The sequence below is a fragment of the Homo sapiens genome, chromosome 12, assembly GCF_000001405.40.
Source record: "Homo sapiens chromosome 12, GRCh38.p14 Primary Assembly".
Lineage (NCBI taxonomy): Eukaryota > Metazoa > Chordata > Mammalia > Primates > Hominidae > Homo > Homo sapiens.
Window position 1 is genome coordinate 74,398,424 of NC_000012.12, and position 25,473 is coordinate 74,423,896.

The 25,473-nt window shown below is 36.5% G+C and overlaps 1 long non-coding RNA gene across 1 annotated transcript; it reads right to left on the bottom strand.

Annotated features, from left to right (window-relative positions):
• Nucleotides 1-3,549: 3,549 nt before the first annotated feature.
• On the bottom strand, nucleotides 3,550-4,109 carry LOC124902967 (uncharacterized). Its single transcript, XR_007063370.1, has 2 exons — nucleotides 4,046-4,109; nucleotides 3,550-3,714 (listed from the first exon to the last, which is right to left on the bottom strand). It is a non-coding gene; the product is annotated as an uncharacterized LOC124902967 (long non-coding RNA).
• Nucleotides 4,110-25,473: the final 21,364 nt, after the last annotated feature.

Here is a 25,473-nt window from a genome sequence, read left to right on the forward strand (position 1 = left end):
ATATCTCCTCCTAGCTAAATGATATTCCAATTGCCAATGCCCCTTCCTATCCAAAAATATGTCAGAGAATAATTTAACTTAGGAAATTTTGTTTATTTCACCAGCTCACTGGGGATCCAACTCACCCTCTATCTTGTGGCTGAAGGATTTATTACTGGTCATTTCTTCAGAAATTGTATGTGCGTGTTGAGGGGATGCTATTATACACCCCCTCATATCAATTTGAAAACACCTGCCCAATATTGTTTACACTAATATCCTTTAAGATTTGCATAATTAATAACAGTGATTTGTTTGTTTGTTTTTGAGACAGTCTCCTTCCGTCGCCCAGGCTGGAATGCTCTGGCACAATCTTGGCTCACTGAAACCTCTGCCTCCTGGGTTCAAGCGATGCTTTGTGCCTCAGCCTCCCGAGTAGCTGGGATTACAGGTGCATGCCACCACTCCCGGCTAAGTTTTGTGTTTTTAGTAGAGATGGGGTTTCACCATGTTGGCCATTCTGGTCTTGAACTCCTGACCTGAAGTGATCCACCTGCCTAGGCCTCTCAAAGTACTGGGATTACAGGTGTGAGCTACCACACCCAGCCAGTAACGATTTTATTTAATTATTTTTTTAAGGTAATTTGACTTAGCCACATGCCTTAGCTCATCTAAGTACAGCTTATTTTTTTCGGTTAAACATTTGAAATTGTGTATCATATTTTATAAGTATGTAGTTTTTAAAGTCCCAGGACTTTATTTTTCTAAAATCAGCATGAATATTTCAGGGCAGTGTTCTGTCCTACAGACAAATTCTCCACATGACAAATTTAGTTCTTTATTAGAAAGGAAAAAGAAGTAAACATGAAAATCTCAAACATTTTCTTGCAATAGTATTTATTCTTTTTGCCTTTAGATTTTTTGCCAAGCCAATCACTGTCCTTCTCATTTTCTGTGTGCAGAATGTAACTTTTTCCACTTAATTGACAATAAAAATCTTAAATAACTTCTAAGTATGCATTATTTGTTGTCTTTTCATTGTTTTATGCCTGCAGTCTCATCCTGATTAGAGAGTGGTTCTCAGTGGCAGATTTCCTTTCTGCCAGTAGACTAAAACCCTATAGTAGTTCCTTCCATATTGTTTCCCACAGTAAGAGGCTCATTTCTTACATCTGAGTAGGTCTCTTAATTCTTTTTAAAAAATCCTCAGCACACTCAGAGAACTGCAGTTGGAGTGGCCATTCCTTACCCACTTCAGCCAACAGAGAGCCAACATCTGCGTGCTTACCAAGGATCGGGCGCACAGCCTCACTCTTCCTCCTTGTGTTCGTCCTCTGCTGTGCTTTTTTTTTTGGAACCTTCCAATTACTAACTGCAATTTTTAAAATACAATCAAGTCATTTCTTCCATTGTCAACTGCCCACTCCCAGGATAATCAGATATGTCTATTACTGTCTAGAAGTTCTGCTTTTATGTCAATCGCTTGCACCATTTACTGTCTTAGATGTGCTCTCTTTGAGCAAAGCACCTCCACTCTCCAAGGGCGATCCACCAGGGCCAAGCCACCCACATAATTTCTTCACAACATTTTTTTGAGGCAGGTATTACAGATGAGGAAGGAGCAAATGAGGAAACTGCCAAAAGTCATAAAGATATTGTGATTAAGTCAGCTAAGGGCAGATTCATATTGAACAATTAATATAATGTATTTTTAGTATCTGTCCTGTGTGAAGAAATAGTCCAAACAATTTGTCTCATTTGCTCCAATATAAGCCTGGGTAATAGAGTGAGATGATGTCACAAGTAAAAATAAATAAATTGACTGCATCATCTTAACTTTACCTGATGATACTTAGTAAGAAAATGCAGAAGTATGTGTCATATTTAAGGAAAAATTACAGCTTCCTCAATAAAGGATAGTCTATTAGTATTGGGATAATCAGTATATAAATTTTTTAAAAATGCAGTTTTGTTCAGTTGGTATGAATACTGTACCAAAGGGGAAGGGATTTCTATTAGATATATAGATAAAGAAAAAAATGACTTATGTTTTCCTATTTTTCTTAAATGTCCTTTTATAATAATGAGGTTAACCAATTTTATAAGTCAAATAATATTCATCACAAACTTATCTCTCTGATTTCTTTTGACTCAAGATCACGGAAGTTTAGCTGTAACAAAGTGGATTTCAACTTAGCATGTTCTAGTTAATAGAACACTCACTGGGTATTTCCTATGTAAGTGCTTTGATGTGCATGATACATATCAGAGACCCATGAGTTAGATTTTCTATTTCTTCCTGTGTCTGGTATAGCATCTAATTACATTAACTCTTATTAAATACTTCTTGTGGATGAATAAAAATATCGAGGTATGGCCAGGACGAATGTTAACACAGAACTAAAAACACTCATACCATCATTACTTCTGCCATTTCTCATACTTCTAGTTACTGCCAAATACTACCAGGGGGTGCATCTTTGGTTCCAGAAGTATTAAAGTTTGGTCTTGTGTGGGAAAAAATGACTTGCCATGGATCAGCAAGTTTCAGTCTGACAATAACATGACCCTTGTTGGAATTTAAAAAAAAAAAAAAAAAAAAAAAAAAAAAGGCTGGGTGTGTTGGCTCATGCCTGTAATCCCAGCACTCTGGGATTCAAGACCAGCTTAAGTAGAGTCAGATCTGTCTCTACAAAAAAAAAAAACAAAAAAAAACAAAAAACAAACAAACTTAGCTAGTCATGGTGGCATCATGAGCCTGTAGTCCCAGCTACTCGGGAGGCTGAAGTGAGAGGATCACTTGAACTTAGGAAGCTGATGCTGCACTGAACCAAGATTGCATCACCCTGTGCCAGCCTGGGTAGTAGATTGAGACCCTGTCTCAAACAAACAATTAAATTGACTGCATCATCTTAACTTTAGCTGATGCTACTTAGCAAGAAAATGAAGAAGTATGCGTCATATTTAAGGAAAATGTGTAACCTCCCCAATAAAGGAAATAAGTTTTTAAAACCTTCTCACAGTTAAATAAATCTCACAAATATTTGATCATTTTTGTTTTGTACTAATACTACATATTATTCCCTTATGTATTAATAACTGATTTAACAATGTCTTTAGATATTGATATCTCTAGTATTTCACTTTAAAATTTTTACTTTATATTCCAAGAGAGATTTATAAGTCTTTCACCTAACTGATTTCTGTAGAACTGATTAAAATATACAGCTGAAAAAATGTGTGGCAGAACTCTCTTTCTTTTATTTAAAATGTTTATTATTTACCACCTTCACTTATAAAAGGATTATGAGGTGATAACTTATTAGTCAGTGGAAAAAATTTCCCAAACAAAATTATAACCAATTGGAAGATAGTGAATCAATTAAGCCATAACTTACATGTATGTAATAATGCCATATTTTCCGTTATGTTTCCCACGTATATGTATATTATCAGTAATAATAAATGTAATAATTTTAAAAATGTATATATAATATATATTACATATATATGATAGGTATGTATTTATTAGTTTGCTAGGGTTAACATAACAGAACACTACAGTCTGAATGGCTTATAAAACAGAAATTTATTTACTCACAGTCCTGGAGGCTGTAAGTCCAAGATCAAGCTCTTAGCAGGGTGGATTTTTTTCTGAGGCCTCTCTCCTTGGCTTACAGATGATTGTCTTCTCGCTGTGTCCTCACATGATCTCTCCTCTGTGCACACTCTCCTCTATAAGAACACTAGTCTGAATTAGGGCCCACCCTACACCCTCATAGTAACTCACCTCTGTGAACGTTCTTTCTCTGAATACAGTCACATTCAAAGTACTGCGGGTTACAGCTTTAAGTTATGAATTTTGTGAGACACAATTCATCTCATAATGATATACATTATGTATGTGCATTACATGTTTAAGTATATTATAGGTATTCTAGGAAAGAGCCTATTTCCTATTTTTCAAAACATCTTTCTTATCCATCAGCAAAACACATGAATCACTTTAACTTTTGAGTCATTCTGAACTCTAATAGATAATAGGTGACTTATCATTTACAATTACCTTATGCCTCGGATTACAAAGTCATTCCTCACCTAGAGATTGTGTACAAGGCTCCTTTGAAGGCGATTAGGCAAAATATTTTCTTTCTATAAAAATACAACTCTTCTTACGTCAATGCGACTTGAAGAAAGGAGACATTGTCAGTTTTACAGGCTACAATAGAGCCTATTATCTGATTCAATTGATGGAATGCAAATTAAATGACAGCTTCAGTTTGAAGTAGATGGACATACATAGTTTCAGAGCATGAATCATATCCACCTGGTCTTGGAGAAGTAAGTTGCTTGTAAAATTGAGAGGTGACAGCGTGCTGGCAGTCCTCAGAGCCCTCGCTTGCTCTCTCGGCACCTCCCCTGCCTGGGCTCCCACTTTGGTGGCATTTGAGGAGCCCTTCAGCCCCCCACTGCACTGTGGGATTCCCTTTCTGGGCTGGCCAAGGCTGGAGCCCACTCCCTCAGCTTGCAGGGAGGTGTGGAGGGAGAGGCGCGAGCGGGAACCGGGGCTGCCTGCGGCGCTTGCGGGCCAGCTGGAGTTCCGGCTGGGCGTGGGCTTGGCGGGCCCCGCACTCGGAGCAGCCGGCCAGCCCTGCTGGCCCCGGGCAATGAGGGACTTAGCACCCGGGCCAGCGGCTGCGGAGGGTGTACTGGGTCCCCCAGCAGTGCCAGCCCACCGGCTTTGCGCTCGATTTCTCACTGAGCCTTAGCTGCCTTCCCGCGGGGCAGGGCTCCGGACCTGCAGCCCGCCATGCCTGAGCCTCCCACCCACTCCGTGGGTTCCTCTGCAGCCCGAGCCTCCCTGACGAGCGCCGCCCCCTGCTCCACAGCGCCCAGTCCCATCCACCACCCAAGGGCTGAGGAGTGCGGGCGCACGGCACCGGGACTGGCAGGCAGCTCCACCTGCAGCCCCGGTGTGGGATCCACTAGGTGAAGCCAGCTGGGCTCCTGAGTCTGGTGGGGACGTGGAGAGTCTTTATATCTGGCTCAGGGATTGTAAATACACCAATCAGCACCCTGTGTTTAGCTCAAGGTTTGTGAGTGCACCAATGGACACTCTGTATCTAGCTGCTCTGGTGGGGACGTGGAGGACCTTTATGTCTAGCTCAGGGATTGTAAATACACCAATCGGCACTCTGTATCTAGCTCAAGGTTTGTAAACACACCAATCAGCACCCTGTGTTTAGCTCAAGGTTTGTGAATGCACCAAGGGACACTCTGTATCTAGCTGCTCTGGTGGGGCCTTGGAGAACCTGTGTGTGGAAACTCTGTATCTAACTAATCTGATGGGGACGTGGAGAACCTTTGTATCTAGCTCAGACTCCGAACACGTCTGAACATCAGAAGAGACAGACTCCAGACGCACCACCTTAAGAGCTGTAACACTCACCGTGAGAGTCCGAGGCTTCATTCTTGAAGTCAGTGAGACCAAGAACCCACCAATTCCGGACACAAAATGACCATAAAATTTCAGTGGCATACAACAATAATCCCTCAATTACTCATTGCTGGGGGCAAGCTGATCTTGATTACATTCAGCTGTGGGGTGGCTTTGCTTCAGGCTTTAGATCTCTCTAGGCATGGCTACTCTCCTAGCTGCGATTGAAAATTTAAAAATAACAATAGTAAAGAAAAACCCTTTACTCTTCTATTTGAATTATTTTAAATAGATTATGCACTATGATACAAGTAGTTCACTGGAAACTTAAATGTTAACTAAAGACCATGAGACCTGTGGAGGAAAGAGGGATAGCTTTATTTTCTTAAAAAGTCAATCTGCAGGCTGGGGAGACACTGCCTTCCAGTACAAGTGAAAGTATGCTCCCAGAAGAACAAAGAGAAAGTCCGGCCTAAATAGGGAAAGTTCTTGTTCTGGTTCTCAATCAGGTCCATTTATGCACATAAACATATCAAATTTGTTCAGTTCTGATGGGTCAAAACAGTCGAGCTCTGACTAGATGGTTTTCAAGCCCCAAACCAGAAGTCTGACAGGCGTTGGGGAGTGCAGGTTGGTGTTCTAGCCACCATTTTATCTTGGCTCTGACAACAGGAACTTGTTTGGCTTGATTGTTGAAAGGGAGGTCCTGTGACACTTTTACAATGCCTTTCTCAACACACCATCATGACCCCTCCTTCACCCAACCATGGCTGCTTAGTTCTGTTTTAATTTGAGTCCCTCAGTTAGCCATGGGTAGTACATTTTGTCTTTCAGCCAGGGACATATTTTAACTTAAATATAAGGCATTCAAAATACTCATTTATCGTATTCACTTGGTCTTTATTTCTAACACCAGCAGCATGTACTTTATATTGGTTTCCTTTGCATTTTAATCTGAGATTTAAAAAATTTAGTTGAAGTCCCTCTTATCACGTGCAACAAAAAAGGGATACCTTTTATTCTTTTGAAAACTGCAGTAGTTCATAGTCTCATAGCCTACCTTTTTCATATTTTTGAAATAAAAACATAAACTCACAGCTTTGCAAATTTGGTTGTCAGAATTCATACCCAAATCCCCAAACATCCAGAGAACTTGACAAGTGGCTGCATCCTGGGATTCTCAAAATTCATAAAAATCAAGAGTTGTTTTTTGTTTAAGAAGACCTAAAGAATGGAAGATGGAAAGTCACATGAGACAAGCAAATAGAATTTATGATTTGTGTAAAATTCATCAAGGTTTTTTGTTTGTTTGTTTTTGCCTTTTATCTAGGACAAATTACACATGTAAAGTCCAGGAGTGAGAAAAAGAGTCCAGAATTACAGGGCCAATTAAAGTCCTGAGGGATTACCTCAATTCTTTAATCTTTTTTTTTCTCCTGGGCTTTTTTCTTGGGTATAGGGTGAGATATTACATATTAATTCATTTTTCTCATCATATACTATCTGCCAGCCACTCAGGGGTACATGAATGATTTATGAAAATAAAGATATAATTTTTGCCCTCCCAGTATAATGTTGCTTGTAGGGAAATAAATAGGAAATTAGATTTTGACATGATAAATACTTTGGTAGTGATAAAAATATAGTTTTGCAGAGTTGGGGAGAATTGAGCTCAGAAAAATTCCTCTGAGGGTATGTGTCTTTATTTTCATTTGTCTTTGAATAGGTAGCTTTGGCAATGATTTTTAGAATGCAAGGGATTCTGACTCTCCCTTTACTCTCTCAGCATATTCTTTTGCCTGTGGTAACATACTAAGAAAATCACAGAGCAGGCCCCTAGGATTTTAGATGACTCTATACTCACCATCAAAATGAAATTTCCTCCTTTTCAAAATAATCCACCAGGTTGTTAGTGAGTTCTGGCAGGAAATGAATAGCTCTCAATGGGACACCAACTCACTATGAGACCTCAACTACTTATCATGAATCAGGTGTTAATTGATTTTCCAAGTCATAAGCTGAGCAATGTGCATCAGCATTCCATCATTGATTAGAAGTGTGACTGAGAAAACTCCAAAGTCAAAAGAAAGTTGGATAAATATATTTGTATTTGAGAGACTCAAAAAGAAAGAAGCCATGTTCATAGGGAAAGATATTATCCAGTCTGAAAAAGATTTTACTTCTCCAACAATAACTTGGCTATAGTCACTATTGAGAACCAAAAAGACAGTGATGAATATCAATGCTGAGACTCTAATATGTCACTATAACCTGGGATGTCTTGAAACCATCTGATGATGGATTGATTAAAATGGTCTCATTCCACCAAGAAGTGGGCAGTTCTTTGAAAGAGTGATTTAAATTCATTTTTTCTGACTATAATGCTTCTGTCAGAATCAAAATGTTATGGAGTTACTGAGTATATTTATTGTCCTGTATTTCATACATTACTTATTAAAACTGCATTTTATAGAAAAACAAAGGAACCAATATACTGATATTCACAGCTTTTTACATATATCCCTTATTCTAGGAGCAACTTTGGCATGGCTTATTAAAGACTTAGTTTTAGTACTAGCTACTAGATGAGACTTGGTGACATTGAAATGTTGCCCTGCAGTAATACCTCTTAACAGTGATCACTTCTTAACAGTGATCGACATATGATGTTATTTCTTATGTAGCCAATCACTAGTCTAGGAAACAAGGGCCTCATTGTAAATAATCTAGCTTTCCATAGCCATGTCTTTGGGTTCTACTTATTTGGAGATCTTTATTTCTTAAAAAAGAAATTCCTCTACTGTGGGATGTAAATGTCATTCCACTAAATAAGAATGTGAATAAGCACCTGATCACTTGAGACTCCTTATGCTACTTTACCAACAACAAAGAGAATGTGGTAAATAAATCTGATTGCTCAGGGAAAATAGGGTTGCTGTTAAACAGTGGAGGCAAATAGACTTTCCTCTGTATCCCCTAGAGATCCTCTGGAGCCCTTCCTAATATTTGTCCAGTGGTAATTTAATGAAATACTATAGAAAATGTACACTTGTAAGATCAGCATTATTGAGGGGTTAGAATCCCCCAGAAATGAAAGTCTGAATCACTGCACTAAATTAAGAACAGCATCCAGTTGAGATGCTGAATGGGGAAAAAGGAAACATAGAAGGGGTATTGAGGAAGGAGGCTGTGAATAAGGTCCTTGGCTATAATATCTCTTAATTTTCTTTCCTATTCTCCCTCTCTGTCTCTCTTTTCCCTCTTCCCTTCAGTGTATTTATATATTAACTAATTAACTTCTTTCCCCTTCTATTTTATATAAGGGTATAAGGGGTTGGTAATTAATGTTAAGATGTTATTTATAGGTTACAGAATATTAAAGTGAGATTATGAGTATACTGGAAAAGAAATCACTAAGTGATTGAAACAGTAACTAACAGTACTTTCGGACTCTTAATTTTAGAAGAGAGTAAGCAGTTTTCATTGGTCCATAAAATTAAATGTAGTACATAGAGATGAGTCATGGTTTTGTAATTATTTTGTTTGTACTTTTAAGGGTAAGTAGAAGCCCTATTAAATATTAGATTCAAATTAAGTGTATTAGTATACACTGAGATCCTCATTTCTAACATCAGCTTTCCAGGTGATACAAGTGCTGTTGGTCCATGGACCACACTTTTGAGTAGCAAGACTTCAAAGGCTACTTGCTTAGAGAAGCATTTGATAAACAAGCAACAACAACAATAGAAATATTTTTTTTTTTTGAGACAGAGTCTAGCTCTGTTGCCCAGGCTGGAGTGCAATGGCACGATCTCAGCTCACTGCAACGTCTGCCTCTTGGGTTCAAGTGATTCTCCTTCCTCAGCCTCCAAAATAGCTGGGATTATAGGCATGTGCTGCCACTCCCAGCTAATTTTTGTATTTTTAGTAGAGATGGGATTTCACCATACTGGCCAGGCTGGTCTCGAACTCCTAATCTCATGATCCACCCTCCTCAACCTCCCAAAGTGCTGGGATTACAGGTGTGAGCCACTGCGCCTGGCCCAGAAAACATTTTAAAGTAACTTGTGTATAGGAGCAGAGTCTGGTTTTCTTTTAAAGTTATTTTGGCCCCTCTCTGGTTTATATTTCAATTTTAGAAATATATTTCAACAGATATTTTTTTCTTCAGAGTTTAATAAAAACTTTGCTCCAAATATTTTTGTAATAATTCCTTAGAATATATGAAGGTAAGAAACATAACAAAGCTTGTAGAAATCTTTATAAACAGATGTAAGATTTGTTAAATGTGTGTGTGATTGATAATTATAAATAAATATCAATAGGTGTGCGTGTATGTGTGTGTGTATGCATTGGAATGACCTTTGAACCAGTTGAAAATAACCCCTCAAACGGATACCACACACTTTTGATGTAACCCTTCAAAAGGATACCACCACACACAGGTGAACTGTATGCTGTAAGGGTAAATACAAATTTAAAAAAGAAAAATTAATTTTCTCTGGCGCAAAAAGGGTAAGAGACCCCTGCCCCACAAACATCTATTCTTTGACATTTACTTTAAAATACTTGTGAGTCCTTTGAAATATGTATGAATGTTTTTAAAGACTAAGTACGCCTCTTTAAAAAAAAAATCTAGGGATGTTTGTCTCCCAGTTTCCTGGGGAGATAGAGCCCTAATTTCACCTTGTGCCTGACTTCAAGTTGCAAAACTTCCTCCTGTCATGAAGTCAGGAGGATTTTTTTTTTATAAAGGAAATTAGCAAACCCAAGTGACTATCTCAATTAACAAGTGAATTTAGAATACCTGATGTGTAACAAATGGTAAGGCCAAGTCCTCTTAATGGGATCTAGCTATTGTTTATTTTGAGAACATGCATTTAATAATGGGTTCTGTTTGCTTAGCTACATAAGAGGTGAGATTTCTTACTGTGTTTACCATCTTATTAGCAGAGTATGATGAGTTTCACATTCTGCTTAATGCTTATTTGATAATAACACTGCATTCTTTCCCTTCTACCTTTACACAGAGCTTTGCTGGGTGAGAGAAGTTTTTGTTTTCAATTGTATTTCCCTAACAATGTCTGAAGGAGATAATGCAAGGCAGAGGGGGGGCTCTTATCACTATCTGGCACTTCTCCCCAAACTTCAGTGTTAAATTCCACGGGGAAGGGTTGGATAGGAACTACTTCTCTGGGCAGAGCAAACATAGGCCAAAGGCATACTTTGCCTGCTTTTCATCTGAAAACCCCAATCTAAAATTAGGAACGTTTGTGCCCCAGTGACAGAAAAAGTCTATCCTAAATACAACAACAACCAAAAGATGTGAGAGTTCAATAGAGCATTTGTTAGAAGCTAAAATTGGCAGATTGAAATTTCTTGCCCTGGGTCTTTTTTAGGTAGTATACAGTGGGAAGATCATCCGAAGACGTTATTAATTTACTGAAGAGAAACAAGAGAGTAACTGGGATTTTTGGGGGGTCTTTTGAAATTCTCTTTTATTCACCTCTAGTATTAGACTATTGCAAACCACCATTTCAAATGGAGTTGGAGGTGGAAGAATAGAGAAGAAGAAATAAAAAGTCTTGATAGACTAATAAAAATAAAATAATAATGTATCAGATAGTAGTTATCAAAGAAAAGGAGCTATATAGAAGTAAGATAATATAGGACCTTCAGCTGTATATATAAAAAGGAATAGGAGATCTATTTAACTGCAGAAATTAGAAAGGACAGGTTGTGCTGGTGCCAAGAAACCACTGCCTTAAAGTATCTACTAATTATACCAGTGAAAATTCCACAGAAAGTTTTCCCTTTCAGGTGAATTATTCATGTCATAGGAGATGGCTATGAGCTTTTCTCTCTGCCTGGAAATCCCTCTCCTTCACACTGTGCTAGCTCAGGTGCTATAGCATCACTCGCTGTCTGGCCCATGCTTGTCTCATTGCTACTATTGTATACACCACACTACAGTTTTTAAAGTTAACAGATTATTTTTTAGAGAAGTTTTCAGTTTACAGAAAAATTGAGCAGGAAGTTGAAAGTTCTCATATATCCCCTCTCACTTATATTCCCAGCATACTGTTTCCCCATCGTTAATATCTTGCTTTATTGTGATGTCATTTTTTGCCTGTAACATTTTTCCTAATTTTTTAACGCTTTAGTGCAAAGATTTAACTTAGCACTATGCAAAGATATTAAATAAATGTCAATGTCAATAAATACAATGAGAATTGGTAGTAAAATTGTGTATATCTTATTTGCACTTTTTAAACATCTGGGACTCTCAAAAATATGAGAACCATGAACTCTCTTAATATGTGAAGTGTGTATATACACACCTTTGAATATAAAGGTTAAAAACAGCAGGATTTCTCAACTTCAGCACTATTGACGTTCTTTTTTTGTGACAGGCTGCCCTGTGCATTCTAGGACACTTAGCCGCTTCCTAAGACTCTATCACTTAGGTGCCAGAAGCAATCCCCTCCCCAACCATGACAATAAAAAATATCTCCAGACATTTCCGAATGTTCCCTGTGTGAACAAACCACCCCTGTTTGAGAATTTCTAAAGATAGCCTCACCAGACCATAGCTAGGCAAGTATGCATCAGTATAAAAAGTCATTTCAAAATAATACTAATTGGGGGCTAATTTCTATAAATGTTAAATGATATGGGAGAGAAAGAGATCATACCATGGTAAGGTGATTACATATAAAAAGGAATTATTAACTATAAATTTCAGTAAACATTGAACATACATTTATTATGGTTTTCCTGGCACACATAAAGCAAGTAATCACTCAGAGAAGTTCTTAGTTGATAATTTGATGTAAACATTTGACATCTGTTGTTTCCAGCCTTTCATTTAATTCAAAAATTTGAATTTCAAGTGTATATATTGAAATTATTCCTTAAGAAAATGCAATGAGACTTACCAAATTAGTAACAGAAATTGCCTATACATCTAGAAACATACTCTGATAAAGATGTTTACTAGTTACCCAGTCAGTGATATATATTATCAAATCCCTCCAGAGCCCATAAATATGCAAACCAACGTTCAGCAAGCTACCATTATTTGAAGAACACACAGAGCTATGAAGGCCTAAAAAGTTAAAGGAGGACATAGTCTCTGTTTTCCAATAACCATTGTCCATGGATATTTTCAGGACTAGAGATAAAAGTTTAGTTCTGTATCAATTTAGTGTGAGGAACAAAACACTTATTCACATGAGTTCTGTTATATTAAAGTTAAAAGGGCTTTGCATGGCTCAATACTAGTTCAAATGAAAGAAAAGACACATCCTTAACATCTCTGTGAAGATAGTTTGACAAAAACTTGTGTGTTAGTCCATTCTTCCATAGCTATAAAGAAATACCTGAGGCTGGGTACTTTATAAAGAAAAGAGGTTGAACTGCCTCACAGTTCTGCAGGCTGTACAGGAGGCATGGTGCTGGCATCTGATTCTGATGAGAACTCAGGAAGCTTACAATCATGGCGGAAGCCAAAGGGGGAGCCAATGTGTCACATGGCGAGAGGCAGGAGGAAAGAGGGGAGGGAGGTTCCACATACTTCTAAACAACCTGCTCTCATGTGAACTCAGGATGAGAATTCACTTACCACCAAGAGGATGCCACTAGACCATTCATTAGGGATCTACCCCCATGATCCAAACACCTCCCAAGGCCTCACCTCCAACTCTGGAGATTACAGTTCAACATGAGATTTGGAAGGAACAAAAATCTAAACCTTATCAACTTGTAAGAAGCATCTTCACGTGATAGCTAAGACCATAGACTCTCTAGCCATGTGGGCTCAGCTTGGAATCCTGTCCCTGTCCCTGTCCCTTGTAAATTATATGGCATTAGGGAAATCAAATAAATTCAGTCCCAGTTTTCTCGTTAGCACAATAAAGAAAATAGAGGATTGAATGAGATCATATGTTGAAAACATAGCAAATATTCAACTACATTGGTTATCAGTAAGGTAACCAATATTTGTGGAACACCTGCTATGTACAGGCATTTTGCTATGACTAATAAATGTATGGTGACAAATTTTCTGTATATAAGCAATATACAGACAGTAGTTTTACTGCTGAAGAAACTTAACTCTGTAAAATAAGAAACACAAGCTGCCATATTTGCAGTGAATTATAAACCCGTGCTAAACACGGTACACACAAGTCAATATTATGGACTTTTAAATAAAATATTACCAAATGAATTAGATATTGTTTCAATATTAAATGTAAAATATAGAAATTATAAATATTACTTCCAGTTAGTCTGAGAAATTTGGATATTTTTATGTATTTTTGATATTTGTACATCAAATTAGGACTTATAATTGAAAGTGTTATTAGTGAAGAAATTCCTGAAAACTTCCTTCTTATCCATATTAGTCTGTCCTATGTTTTTGATTGTTTGTTTCCTTGAGGCCAAGGATTTGTGTTTTGTTTGTCCGTGTATACTCCAGTGTGTCCAGCACAATGCTCTTATCTGCTTTATCTCTGAAAGTGGAGGTTAGGTGAGGTAAATTGAATTGCTGTAAACTGAAAGCTTCTTTCAGCACTGCTTCTTCCTATAGCATCCTGGAGGTAGCTGGAGCTGAATGTCTCAGATAGCTATTTTTCATTATGATATTAAAATGACTGCTAGATTGGCACAAAGAAATGAATGTGTCTTGACACATTAGGGAATTAGGGAATTCCCTAATTAATGTGATTTGCCAAGGCTCACACTGTTAAAGTCAAGATGTCCATCTAAGATTTCTGGCTCAATTCCAGAGCATTCAGTTTCATAGCCTGCTGTTTTCTCTGTATGAATAATTATGATTTTTAATTGAAGTGCACATCAGCTTTTATGTACTGGTTTGGCCACTGACATGTCAGGTGTATGATAACTCTTCACATGAACCTGACTTCTTCACCTCATAAATTATGTTCCAAGATGAAATTTAAAAGACTTTTCTTGACTGCCACCTTGTGGTAGATTTTTCAAAGTAAAAAAATTTAGTCGAAGAAATATATGTACAGGTTTCCAACAATGTTAAAAAGAGAGAATTAAACTGCCAGTAATTTATGTATAAATAGAAGAAAGTTTTACAGTGAGGTTAACAAAAATCTTTAAAAATCTTCCCTGATTTAAAATAAGCATTTAAAAGAAACATCTCTTTTTTCTTTATTATTCGAAACATTAAATGGGAAAAAAACAGAAAAAATATTGCCTCATCTATGTAAAATATATATGATATCATCAAATTAATCCAAAACCTTTCCCTGATTCACTGGCTACTTTCTAAAAACTTTAAAATTAGATTTAGTTGTTGAATAATTATCAATTTAACAAGAAATTACATGTATTATAAGAAAAGTTACCCTATATAATCAACTTTTAAAAGTATGTATTTATAATTAACTACATGATACATAGTTTATTAACTATTTTATTACTTTTAAATTGAAATTATCAGTTGACAAAAATATAATTTTCTTAGAGCACTTGCAATACGTATGTACTTGTTTTTTCTTGTCTGGATGACCATGGGTAATCTGCTCCCTGTGAATATATCTAGTATGTGTCTAAAACTAAATTAATTACTTGACTGAGAAAAGGCTCTGAGTGTCCTCAGAAGAAATCAGATCATTCGATTAGGACTTATAATTGAAAGACCAAGATAATTGCTACAATCCAATAACACAGAGTGAAAGAGGAAAGATGGTTAACCACAAGGCCATCAATCATACTGATGGAAGGACGTTGGCAAATGATTGCTAATGCTTCCAATTCATAAACCAGGTAAACTATTCAAAGGTAAAGTTAAGCAGTATTTGGTTGTAAGAACTCTACTATCTAATGTATTAATTAACTATTTTCATAGACTACCTGTAAAGAGTGTCAGGATGAGAGTTGCTGGTTTTATAGAACAACTTCAGAAATCCTGCCGCAAACCTGATTTCACATTTGAAGAGTGGTTAAAGTCAACATAAGACTGAATGGGGCACCACTGAGAGTTAGACAGTCCACTAAACCTCATCATATACAGCGATTCCCAAAAAAGGCAAAGGCACACTTGGGAGCTTTGACATCGGGACCAAAGGCAGAGCTGGTTTCATTTTCTATTGGTCAAGAAAATAGCCCTTGTTGTAATTCAAGCTCTCTAAATGGAAATTATAATTATTTGTCCTTCAGCTAGAAAACATCCTACATATAATGCAGATCTCTTACTGCAAAAAAAAAAAATTAATTTGAGGTCAAAAATCCCTAAGGAGAAACAGTCAAAAAGGTCAGCCTGAGGTAATTTACTCCCAATCCAATTCTATTTCAATAACTCCACGATGGGTATATTCTTATGAATGCTCACAGGTATTCCCTTTTATCATTAATTCTGGGTATTATATTTTATACCTGCTACCAAATTAGATAGCTTTTCATTACATTGCTTTTAAAATCATTTGCCATGGTGTGGTCTTTTTTCTAAGAAAACAATGCAAAGCTAACACAAGAAGAAACCCTCATTTGAATGACCACTATTTTTTTTTTTACTATTATTGAACATGTGTCTTTCATTAGGTCTGGTCCAACTATCTCAAAGTTTATGCTTTAATGACTTTATGAAATCACTATGGAAAACACTTATGCCTTTGAGGTGGTCCCACTTTCTTAATGAGAGGAATATATTTAAATTGTCTGAGAGCTTTGTTTGCTCTCCTAGCTTGCTGCCATAGGATATGTGAGACTAGAAACTCTATCAAAAATTGTCTTAATTTACTTGCTAACATTCACTCTCTTGCTAGGAATAATTTTGATTAGTAAGAAAAGTGCTTCCTCATTGACTCTTTCACTGGCAAATAATACATTGCATTTGTGTCTTTCTTTACTGAGCCTAGGAGCCTTTAGATTCATTATCCAATTAATCCTCCTAACATTGCTGTAAAGTGAGAATAAGGAGTAAATTCCCATTCTACATGTAGGGAGATTAAATGACTTATACTATGTCACCGAGCCAGTAAAAAGCAGAGTTAAGAAAACTGCTTAAGGCTTGCTTTTATTGCAATATTAGGTCATTATTTCTCATATTACAAGAACTTCTTCAGAGATAACTGGTACTAGGAGTTGAGAACTGAACAGGTTTCCTCATATTTAATTGTAACAGTGTTCTCTGAAATGGCCTTTTGAAATTATAGCTGAGAATATAAATGCATTTATATTGGTGAAACATACTGTATTGTGTCCTAATAATATACTGAAGAAAATTACATTTGTTTTTTTTTTTGGTTATATAAGCTAGTTAGTATTCATTAATAAGCGATAATATTAAGATTCATTAATAAGTGAATATGGAGCTCAGTGCAGCTTTTCTTTTTCCCTTTCATTTATTATTAACAAACTCATTTAAGCTGCCCCCTTTATCCTATGAGGATTATGCAGCTCAATATCACATTTATTTGATTATTTTAATCATGCATTTTTAAAGAGATTTTGATATTTATACAGAATTAATTCAAGAAGCAGCATTATTTTATTTCTATTATTTTTACTTTTAAATAAAATTTAATTCAACCTGTAAAAAAGGTAAAATAATAAATATTTAATATCGTGCATGCTTCTTCATTTCTCACCTTTCCTTGCTGTATAAGAAAACTAAGAAAATTACTATTTGCATGATATATTTGACTCTGCATTTGACTACAACCCAAAAGACAAAATGCCAGAAATCCCAGAAGCATAGAATTCCTGCAGGATTTCAAGTCCGAGTCTACAGTCCAAGGAAGACTAGAGAGATTCAGATAAACTTTAATTGTACACTTGAACTTTAGCATCTTCAGAACAGATTTGGATATTTGAAATTTTCTTTTTGTAAGTCAGAAGATATTAGATCTGAAGGAGTCTTTTAAAATGTCTTTGAATTTTCTCTTTGTGTAAACAACTTTAGGAATAATTGAAAGTTGAAGGTCCAAGGTCACCTGAAATAAAATAAGCTGTGTCCTACTCACTCTAGTGGGTTGATGCCACCTTATGGAAGTTGAGGCTCACTACATCACATGTTGTAAAAGCCACAAAAGCTGAAGTTCCAGGAGAAGGGCTTCTAAATAAAATTTAGTCAATATAAAAGCATTTCAATGGATAAACAAAAGGCAGGAGATTAAATATAAAATTCTATTATAATATTTTATTTCATATTTTACATTGCATATTATTAGTCAGATATATGATAAGGTTCATTTCCCTTTGGTAATGTTAAGAGAGTTGTTTTTTAAAGCAAATATGCAGGTATATTGCCAATGTTCAGAAAAAAATTATTTAATTCCTATGTTATTCTGTTTCTTGTTTCTGCTTTTATTATTTTATTTTACCCTTGGTTTCTTCATTCCAAGAAGAAACTGGATAAGTTACTTAAAAGTGGCTAGAGCTAGAGTAAACACATCTATTTTAAAATTATACTATTATGCTAATACTCAGACTAGGCAGAAAAACTCATCCAGGGGACAATTCCCTAGTAAAAATCCCTTTGTAAGCCTGTTGAGGAGCATGAACACAGGGGTTGAAAGTTTCTACTAATCATATTAAGGAAGGAGTTGGGAAGAATTAGGAAGACAGCTGTAGCTTTTAGTAAAAGTGGGAAAAATGACTTTACAAAGGATGAAGCAAACAAGATGAGCTGGTCCCCAGTGTGTAGATAGGAAATGGGATCGTTTAATTTAGAGATATGCTTGGACCCAACCAGGCTTTATGAACATCAGACAGGGTCTTGAAAGGAGCTTATTTCCAAATTAATTCAAAGAGAGTTTTAATTTGAACATATAATGAAATATAAAATTCAGTGTCTTGGACACATTTGGTAAGTTGTACATTATTTGAGAACTCTAAAACCTATAATCCTTTATTGATCAAAACACTGTTCAATGACTCCCAGACCTAGTTGCTCATCAGAATCACCTGGGCCTCCTTTGTACATGATGCTTTTCTGACCGGGCTGTCTTCCTATTACCTGACTCTACGCATCAACTCAGATAAGTGTCATCAGTCGCTGGAATCTGCCTAGAATCCTAGCTCCGGGTATTTGGATATATCTTATAAAATTTATTCTCATCATTGTCCTTTTGTCAGCCGAAAGAATTTCATATCACTTCTCGAATTTCTTTAAATGTACCCCCTAGCCCTACTTTGTGGAAGCATTTGTCAGAAAATATTAAGAGAAAGCATCTATGAGTCTGTCATACCATAGTCAAAGTTGAGATACCTCAGAATAATTTTCTTGTAGCTACATGTACACCTCAAGGTTGCTATTCTGCTTATCCTCAGTAGCTTCAAAGGGAGTCAATCAGGGGATCAATACCAACATCCTCAACGACAACGGAACCCCATTTAGCAATACAGAACATCAAGTTGTCTTTCCACTCATGTGAGGCTACAGCTGAATTTGCCATTTTCTTCATGTCTATGTCGTCAGAGTGTAAGGTTCAAATGAACATTATATTTCTCAGTTCCTTTTATCATCTATTTCTGCTTATTATTTTCCATGTTATTTTTCCTTGACTTAACACCTTCATCTTTATCTCTATAAGCTGCGAAGCTAACTTATTTTATTAAGTCTCACATTTTTTCCTATGTGATAATTATCATTCATTTTACTCTCTCATTTCTTCTACAGATGCAGGATAATCAGTTAACTATCAGGGTTACTTTATTCTTTGAGAGTACCCATGTAAATATTGTTTATTTATTTTTCACTGGCAGTATAATTTTGGTGGTCCAGCCAGTGTGGTCACCATTATCAACTCAGATGGTGAAAAGATCTTCAGCAGAGAACTCTCAGACAAAATTTCAAAGATAATTGTGCTTGCAAAGTGTGATCACAAAGGTAATCAGAAATCAACACAAAAGTATATAATATTGAAGATGTCTGCCTTAGCTTACAGATCCTTTACCAAAGCTTTGAAGCCAGTCTCTGCAACAAACTCCACATTACCAATTGTTTTTGGTACTGCTTGTGTACACCAGCATCAATCACAATGATGTCTACAATGTTAACCATTATCCAACTAAGACAGTATGTTGTGTTTTCTTAGTGGCTTCTGGAAAGGTCTTAAAAGCAATTTACTTTAGAAAATTTATTTTTTTCAATAAAAATTGAATAATGTGAGATATAAGCTGAGCAATCTTTTCTGGAAGGTGAAGTTTTTTGTCTCCTCCTTTTCATGGCATGCATTCTGTTAGGAAAATGTGGATGGTGCTGGAAAGTGGGTAGTTGCAAGAAAAATAAATTAATAGACTACTGAGGAAAGACTATAAGAGATACCTGTGGTTTATACCTGAGGTTGGCAAGCTTTCACTGTAAAGAGCCAGATAGGAAATATTTTATGTTGTAAGGGCCATATGGGCTCTGTAGCAACTGCTTAACGCTGCCATTGTCTCATGAAAGTACTCATAGGCAGTATGCAAACAAATAAGCATAGCTGTGTTCCAATAAACATCACCAAAACATGTGGCAAGCCAGATTTGGCTGATGGACTACAGTTTGCCAACCCCTACCTTAGATTAGAATGTTTGATGCAATTATGTAACAAAAACAGAACAAGAGTCATGGGCTCAAGACCTATTTCTGACACTAGGTGTGTAGTAGAGAAACATTTTTCCTAGCTAGCAAAATTTATCATCTGTAAAATGAAAGGATTAAACTTACTTTTCCTAAACTTGCTCTCTGCTCTAAAATTACGAGTTTATTCTGTGTTCATTTACCTCTTCTTTCATATATAAGAAAAACTTGGCTTGTGTTTTTTTAAAAAGGCAATACAAATCATTCAAAGAATCATTTTAATTATTTAAATTTTTTTGAAATGATTGCTTTCTCTGGTAGGAGGAGAGTAAGGAAACTCTTACTGCAAGTGTATAAAATGTTTTCTTTGTTTTTATTCTGTGTGAGTCATCAGAATTTATTATGACTCCCATAAGAAATTTCAACAGAGAGCAAGACACGCAGAGCTATGGTGGGGAATATTGGACTGATGGGGTTAAAACATTTGTTTTTTTACTAGATCCTTTTGAATTTAGAGGAATGAACATCTTTTCTTTGCTTATACAAAGACACTCCTTTCACTTCCACTATCAATGTTGACTAAAATCCTCATTTTGGATCCCATTCCCTGCTTTGTCTGATTCCAAGATTCTCAGTGTTGATCCCTTTTTGGGCTTAATGCCTTCATAATTCCCAAGCATGGCACATTTGTGTCAATATCTTTGTACAAATAGAAAAACATAGATGTTCGAAAACCTTTCAGAGTCTGATATGACAATGCCCTTCCTTACCCTGTCCTCCACCAGATTCAGCCCCGGAGACCTCATTTAAATTTTAGCCTGCATCACAGAATGATGTGGCCTCTTTAGTGGGTCCAACCAGTCCTATGACCCAATCTTCAGCTTGAGTTTCACAAAACCAGAGCTACACATGTATTAATCCTATGATCAAATATGGAAACTCATGGACAATGTCATGAGACAAAGACCTCGCAAATCAATAATATTCAATACATATTTGTTGATAGCTTATTCTGTAGCAGGCATTGAACAAGCCAATGGGATTCAAATAAGCATTTACTCTAGGATGTGAACCATCTCCTGAGGTACTGAGTATGTTCCCCAGTACTTGTGTAACTAGAGTACATTAAATCTGATTGCAATTAGTTACACTCAGTGGCATTCATTCTGGATAATCTTCACTGAGGAGCTACATTCTAGCTGCTACAGAGTAAAAGAAGGATAGTTCAGATAGATGGAATAGATTAAGCAAAAGTGAGAAGTAATGAATGAGAATTTGGGAAGAAACAGGAAGCTCAACATGTCAAGATGTTGAAGAACATGACCTGAGATCAAGATGAAAATGCAGACTGAAAAAGAATTACCAAAATCTTGAATACCATGTTAAGGAATTAGGTTTTATGTTTCTACCCCCATGAAGGGAAACGCCACTGAATATTTTTGAGAGGAGTAGCATATCAGATTTAGAAAGTTAGCTTGTATAGAATTGTTGAAAATGTATTAAATGAAGAAAAATCTGGAAGCAAAGAGGCTGGTTAGGAAGGCAATGAATTATGTCAAACAAGTAGGAGATATGGACCTTAAGCTGGGGTGATGATCATGACAAGAGCGGCAAAGCTGAGAAACTTTTCAATCTAGGTAATGAAAGGTTGGTAGTTGAATAACCCCTGGTACTTCCACAGTTTCTATACTATACTACCTGCTTCAGGTATACCCTGCTTACAGAGATGATTCTTTGAAAAATGTTTTTATTTATTGTTTAAGTTGATGGCTAACGAGAACTGAATTGGGATCACCACACTGATGTTTGCATTTAGCTTCTAGGGTCACCTTTCATTTAATCATTTACTAGCTTTTTTAACTTGACTCATTTTATCCTCAAAATGTTTACTTCACTTTGTGATCTTTTTCGTTCCATTGTTGTTCCCATCTCTCACTTCATAGATCATGCATCCGTGTGTCACAGATTCTTATGGTGGGAGATTAACACCCATTGGAAATGATATGGGCAGCTATTTTTATCTTTGGAAGAATACTTTCAGTGGAATAATGGCTACCCAACCCATACATAGTTCATCAGTAGGGAAATATGAGAAGTTAAAGCCAGTAAGGTAGAACATTTAATTGTGACAGTAAAGAGAGCAATGTCTACTAAAAATACAAAAATTAACTGGGTGTGGTGGTGTGTGCCTGTAGTCCCAGCTACTTGGGAGGCTGAGGCAGGAGAATTGCTTGAACCCAGGAGGCAGAGGTTGCAATGAGCCAAGAACCTGGGAGGCAGAGGTTGCAACAAGCCAAGATCGTGCCACTGCATTCCAGCCTGGCAACAGAGTGAGATTCCATCTCAAAAAAAAAAAAAAAAAAAAAAAGGGAGCAATGACATGATAATTTGTTGGAAAAAATCAAACAAAGTATTTTATCATTTTATTTAAGGGAGACGTTATGATCTTCCTATTTCTTGCTTTGTTTTGTTATTGTTTCTTTTTTGTTTGCTTTTATTTTTTAGTGTGAAAAGAGAAAACAATGGAGAAGGAGAAAGAGCAAGAGAGAATAATGATCAATATGTAAAGTGTTATGGATTTAATTTCTATTTTTAATATGAGATCATGTCTTATTAAATTAAGTATCAATAAGTGTTAATAAATAATTATTGAGAAGTATCAATACATAATATATAACAAGACATATCAATAAACAAATAAATGTTTAAACATGGTCCGTTATAAACAATTATATTCTAATATAAGAAAATGTGATATCCAATTCAGTGGTTGACATTTGGGAAATGCTCAATATGGTTATGAAGAATGAATTGAATCAATAAAGAAATGATTTTCTTTATGTAAGGCAACCCTCTAGGGAATCCAGTGAGGCCACATACTAAGAACCACCATTGTACTTTCATTCTTATTTCAATCAGTTAGAAATGCTTGCTTTTCATCTTCTTGTGAATTTTTCCTAAACTGTCAGTAGATGCGACGTAAGTGGGTCTTAATTCTTTCTTTGGATATTTGGCATACCCTTATGATGTTTGGCATACTCATAAAATGATTTATGAAATAATGACTGCTTTTCATTAATGTAGTACATCTTTTATTATTTTATATGAGCCATTAATATTTGAAATAACAATTATCACTTTTACCACTTATTTAGCCATTACTGTGTGTCAGGAACACAAAGAGGAATGAGAAAATCTTTACCCTAAATGGTTTACAGCTTAATAGTGGTCATTGGAGAGAGGTTTATCAATAATCACAACACACTACAGCAATGATAAATTTGATATATGTATACCATGTTAGGAGCACATAAATTTAATAAAATTTCTATTCAGCTAACATATATGTATTACTCATCTAGTATAGATTTGATGGTGTGTTAGATCCATTTTCAGTTTACCAGACAGTCCAAGAGTTCTTAGTCTACTGGGGAAACAAACCCATTTTAATATCCCATGGTAAATGAAAAATTAGAATAAAAAGAAGTAGCACATAGGACGGCCTGATGACCTCTCTGTCAGTTTGTATCCCCCAAGAAACAGAGGCCAATATGGGACTTGATGTACAGGAAATTTATTCGAGATAACTCCTTATGAAAGATAAAAGTCGAGGGAGCAAGAATAGGTGAGAAGACCCTTCAGACAACAATATAGGTCTGCCTTTGTAAAAGGAGAGAGAGGAAAGAAACAATTGGGTAGAAAGGCCCTTAAATTGCAGCAAAGTTCTAAGAAAGTCTTGGCCAGGCTGCTGAGGAATCCCAGAGCACAAGTTTCCCATTAGAAAAATTTTTCACAGGGCAAGAAGGAGCACTAATAAACTGCCATGCTTTGTAACTGGCTGGCTGCAGCCCAGAATATATGTGGCCTGTTTTAGCACAATGATGGATAAAAGAATCGAGAGCTGGGCTGTCAGTCAACTATGTCTGCAGCAGTCAATTCTCTTGAACGAGATCTGATAGGTGACACTACAGAGACCTACTTTTCCTTTTAGGTTCAGAAGGCCTTTTCTCCATTGGCCCATTGGACTTTCTTCCTTATAGAGAACGTAGAGCAGAGATGTTAGAAAGATAAACTATAACCTCTGTCACTTCCAGTTGGTCTTGGGAATGCAGCTAATATTCATCCTTTCTGTTATCCAACAGCCATTCTAATTTACCTTAACTCTGTGCTATCACTAGTCTCACCTCAGAAACCCAGGAAGCTGTGTTACAATTCTTCCGTTGGAGCTCGCATTATCTCTGCACTGCAATGTTTTCCTCCAATATTCTAGAGTCGTTCATATAGCCAAGAAACATGGCTGTTGGCACTACAGCCTAAACGTGTGATAGAGCCCTTTATTATTTAAGACTTAAAAGTGGTAGCTTTTAGAGTTATGCAATATATGAGTCATAGGTAAGAGCTATATTCTTTTTCTTTTTCTTTTTTTTTTTTTTTTTGAGACAGAGTCTCGCTCTGTTGCCCAGGATCCAGAGTGCACTGGTGCAATCTTGGCTCACTGCAACTTCCACTGCCCGGGTTCAAGTGATTCTCCTGCATTAGCCTCTCGAGTAGCTGGGATTACAGATGCCCACCACCACACCTAGCTAATTTTTGTATTTTTAGTAGAGGCGGGGTTTCGCCATGTTGGCCAGGCTGGTCTTGAACTACTGACCTCAGGTGATCTGCCCAACTTGGCCTCCCAAAGTGCTGGGATTACAGGTGTGAACCACCTTGCCCAGCCCAGAGCTGTATTCTTAAGTGTAAAATGTGTTGCCTCCAAAACCCAGTGAGGCTTATGGAAAGTGATTCTTCCTTTTAATTTAATTGTAAAGAATACAGATGCAGCAACTTGCTTTTTTCTTTGAAGGGGTTATTCTCATACACCCTTGCTCACTGGAGTCCTAAAAATGTCTAGTAAGGTTCCTGAATCATAGGTTTTACCTTCCACACATTGGAAAATATGTGTCTTACCAAAGTCACCAGTCTATTAGCCACTTCTCACTTGTACTGTCCAATTAGTATATCGTCAGTGAAATGAATCAATGTGATATTCTGTGGAATTCCCAGTTGGTCCTTGTATCATTACTTGATTTTATTACAGAAAGCAGGACTGCTAATACAATCTTTTTTAAAAAACTGTAAATATTGTTGTCTATTCTATGTGAACATGAATCTGTTTCTAATCCTCCCTTCTGGTTGGAATAGAAAAGAACACATTTGCCAAATCAATGGATGAATACCACTTATTTGCTGCCATAATAATATGCTCTCACAATAAACCCCACCTGGCACAGCAGCTTTAATAGGAATAACACCTTTTTGAATTCATGATCATTTACAGTCATTATCCAGGATCTATTATTTCTGCAGGGGCCAGAACAATGAATTATAATAGAGAAACATTAGTCCCTACTACCCCCTGCAATGTTTAAGTCTTTAACGGTGAAAAGAATCTCCACCATTTCCCAGCTATGCTCATGAATATGATATTGTTTTGTTTTCTTTTGATGTATAATGAACTTTTAAAATTTTA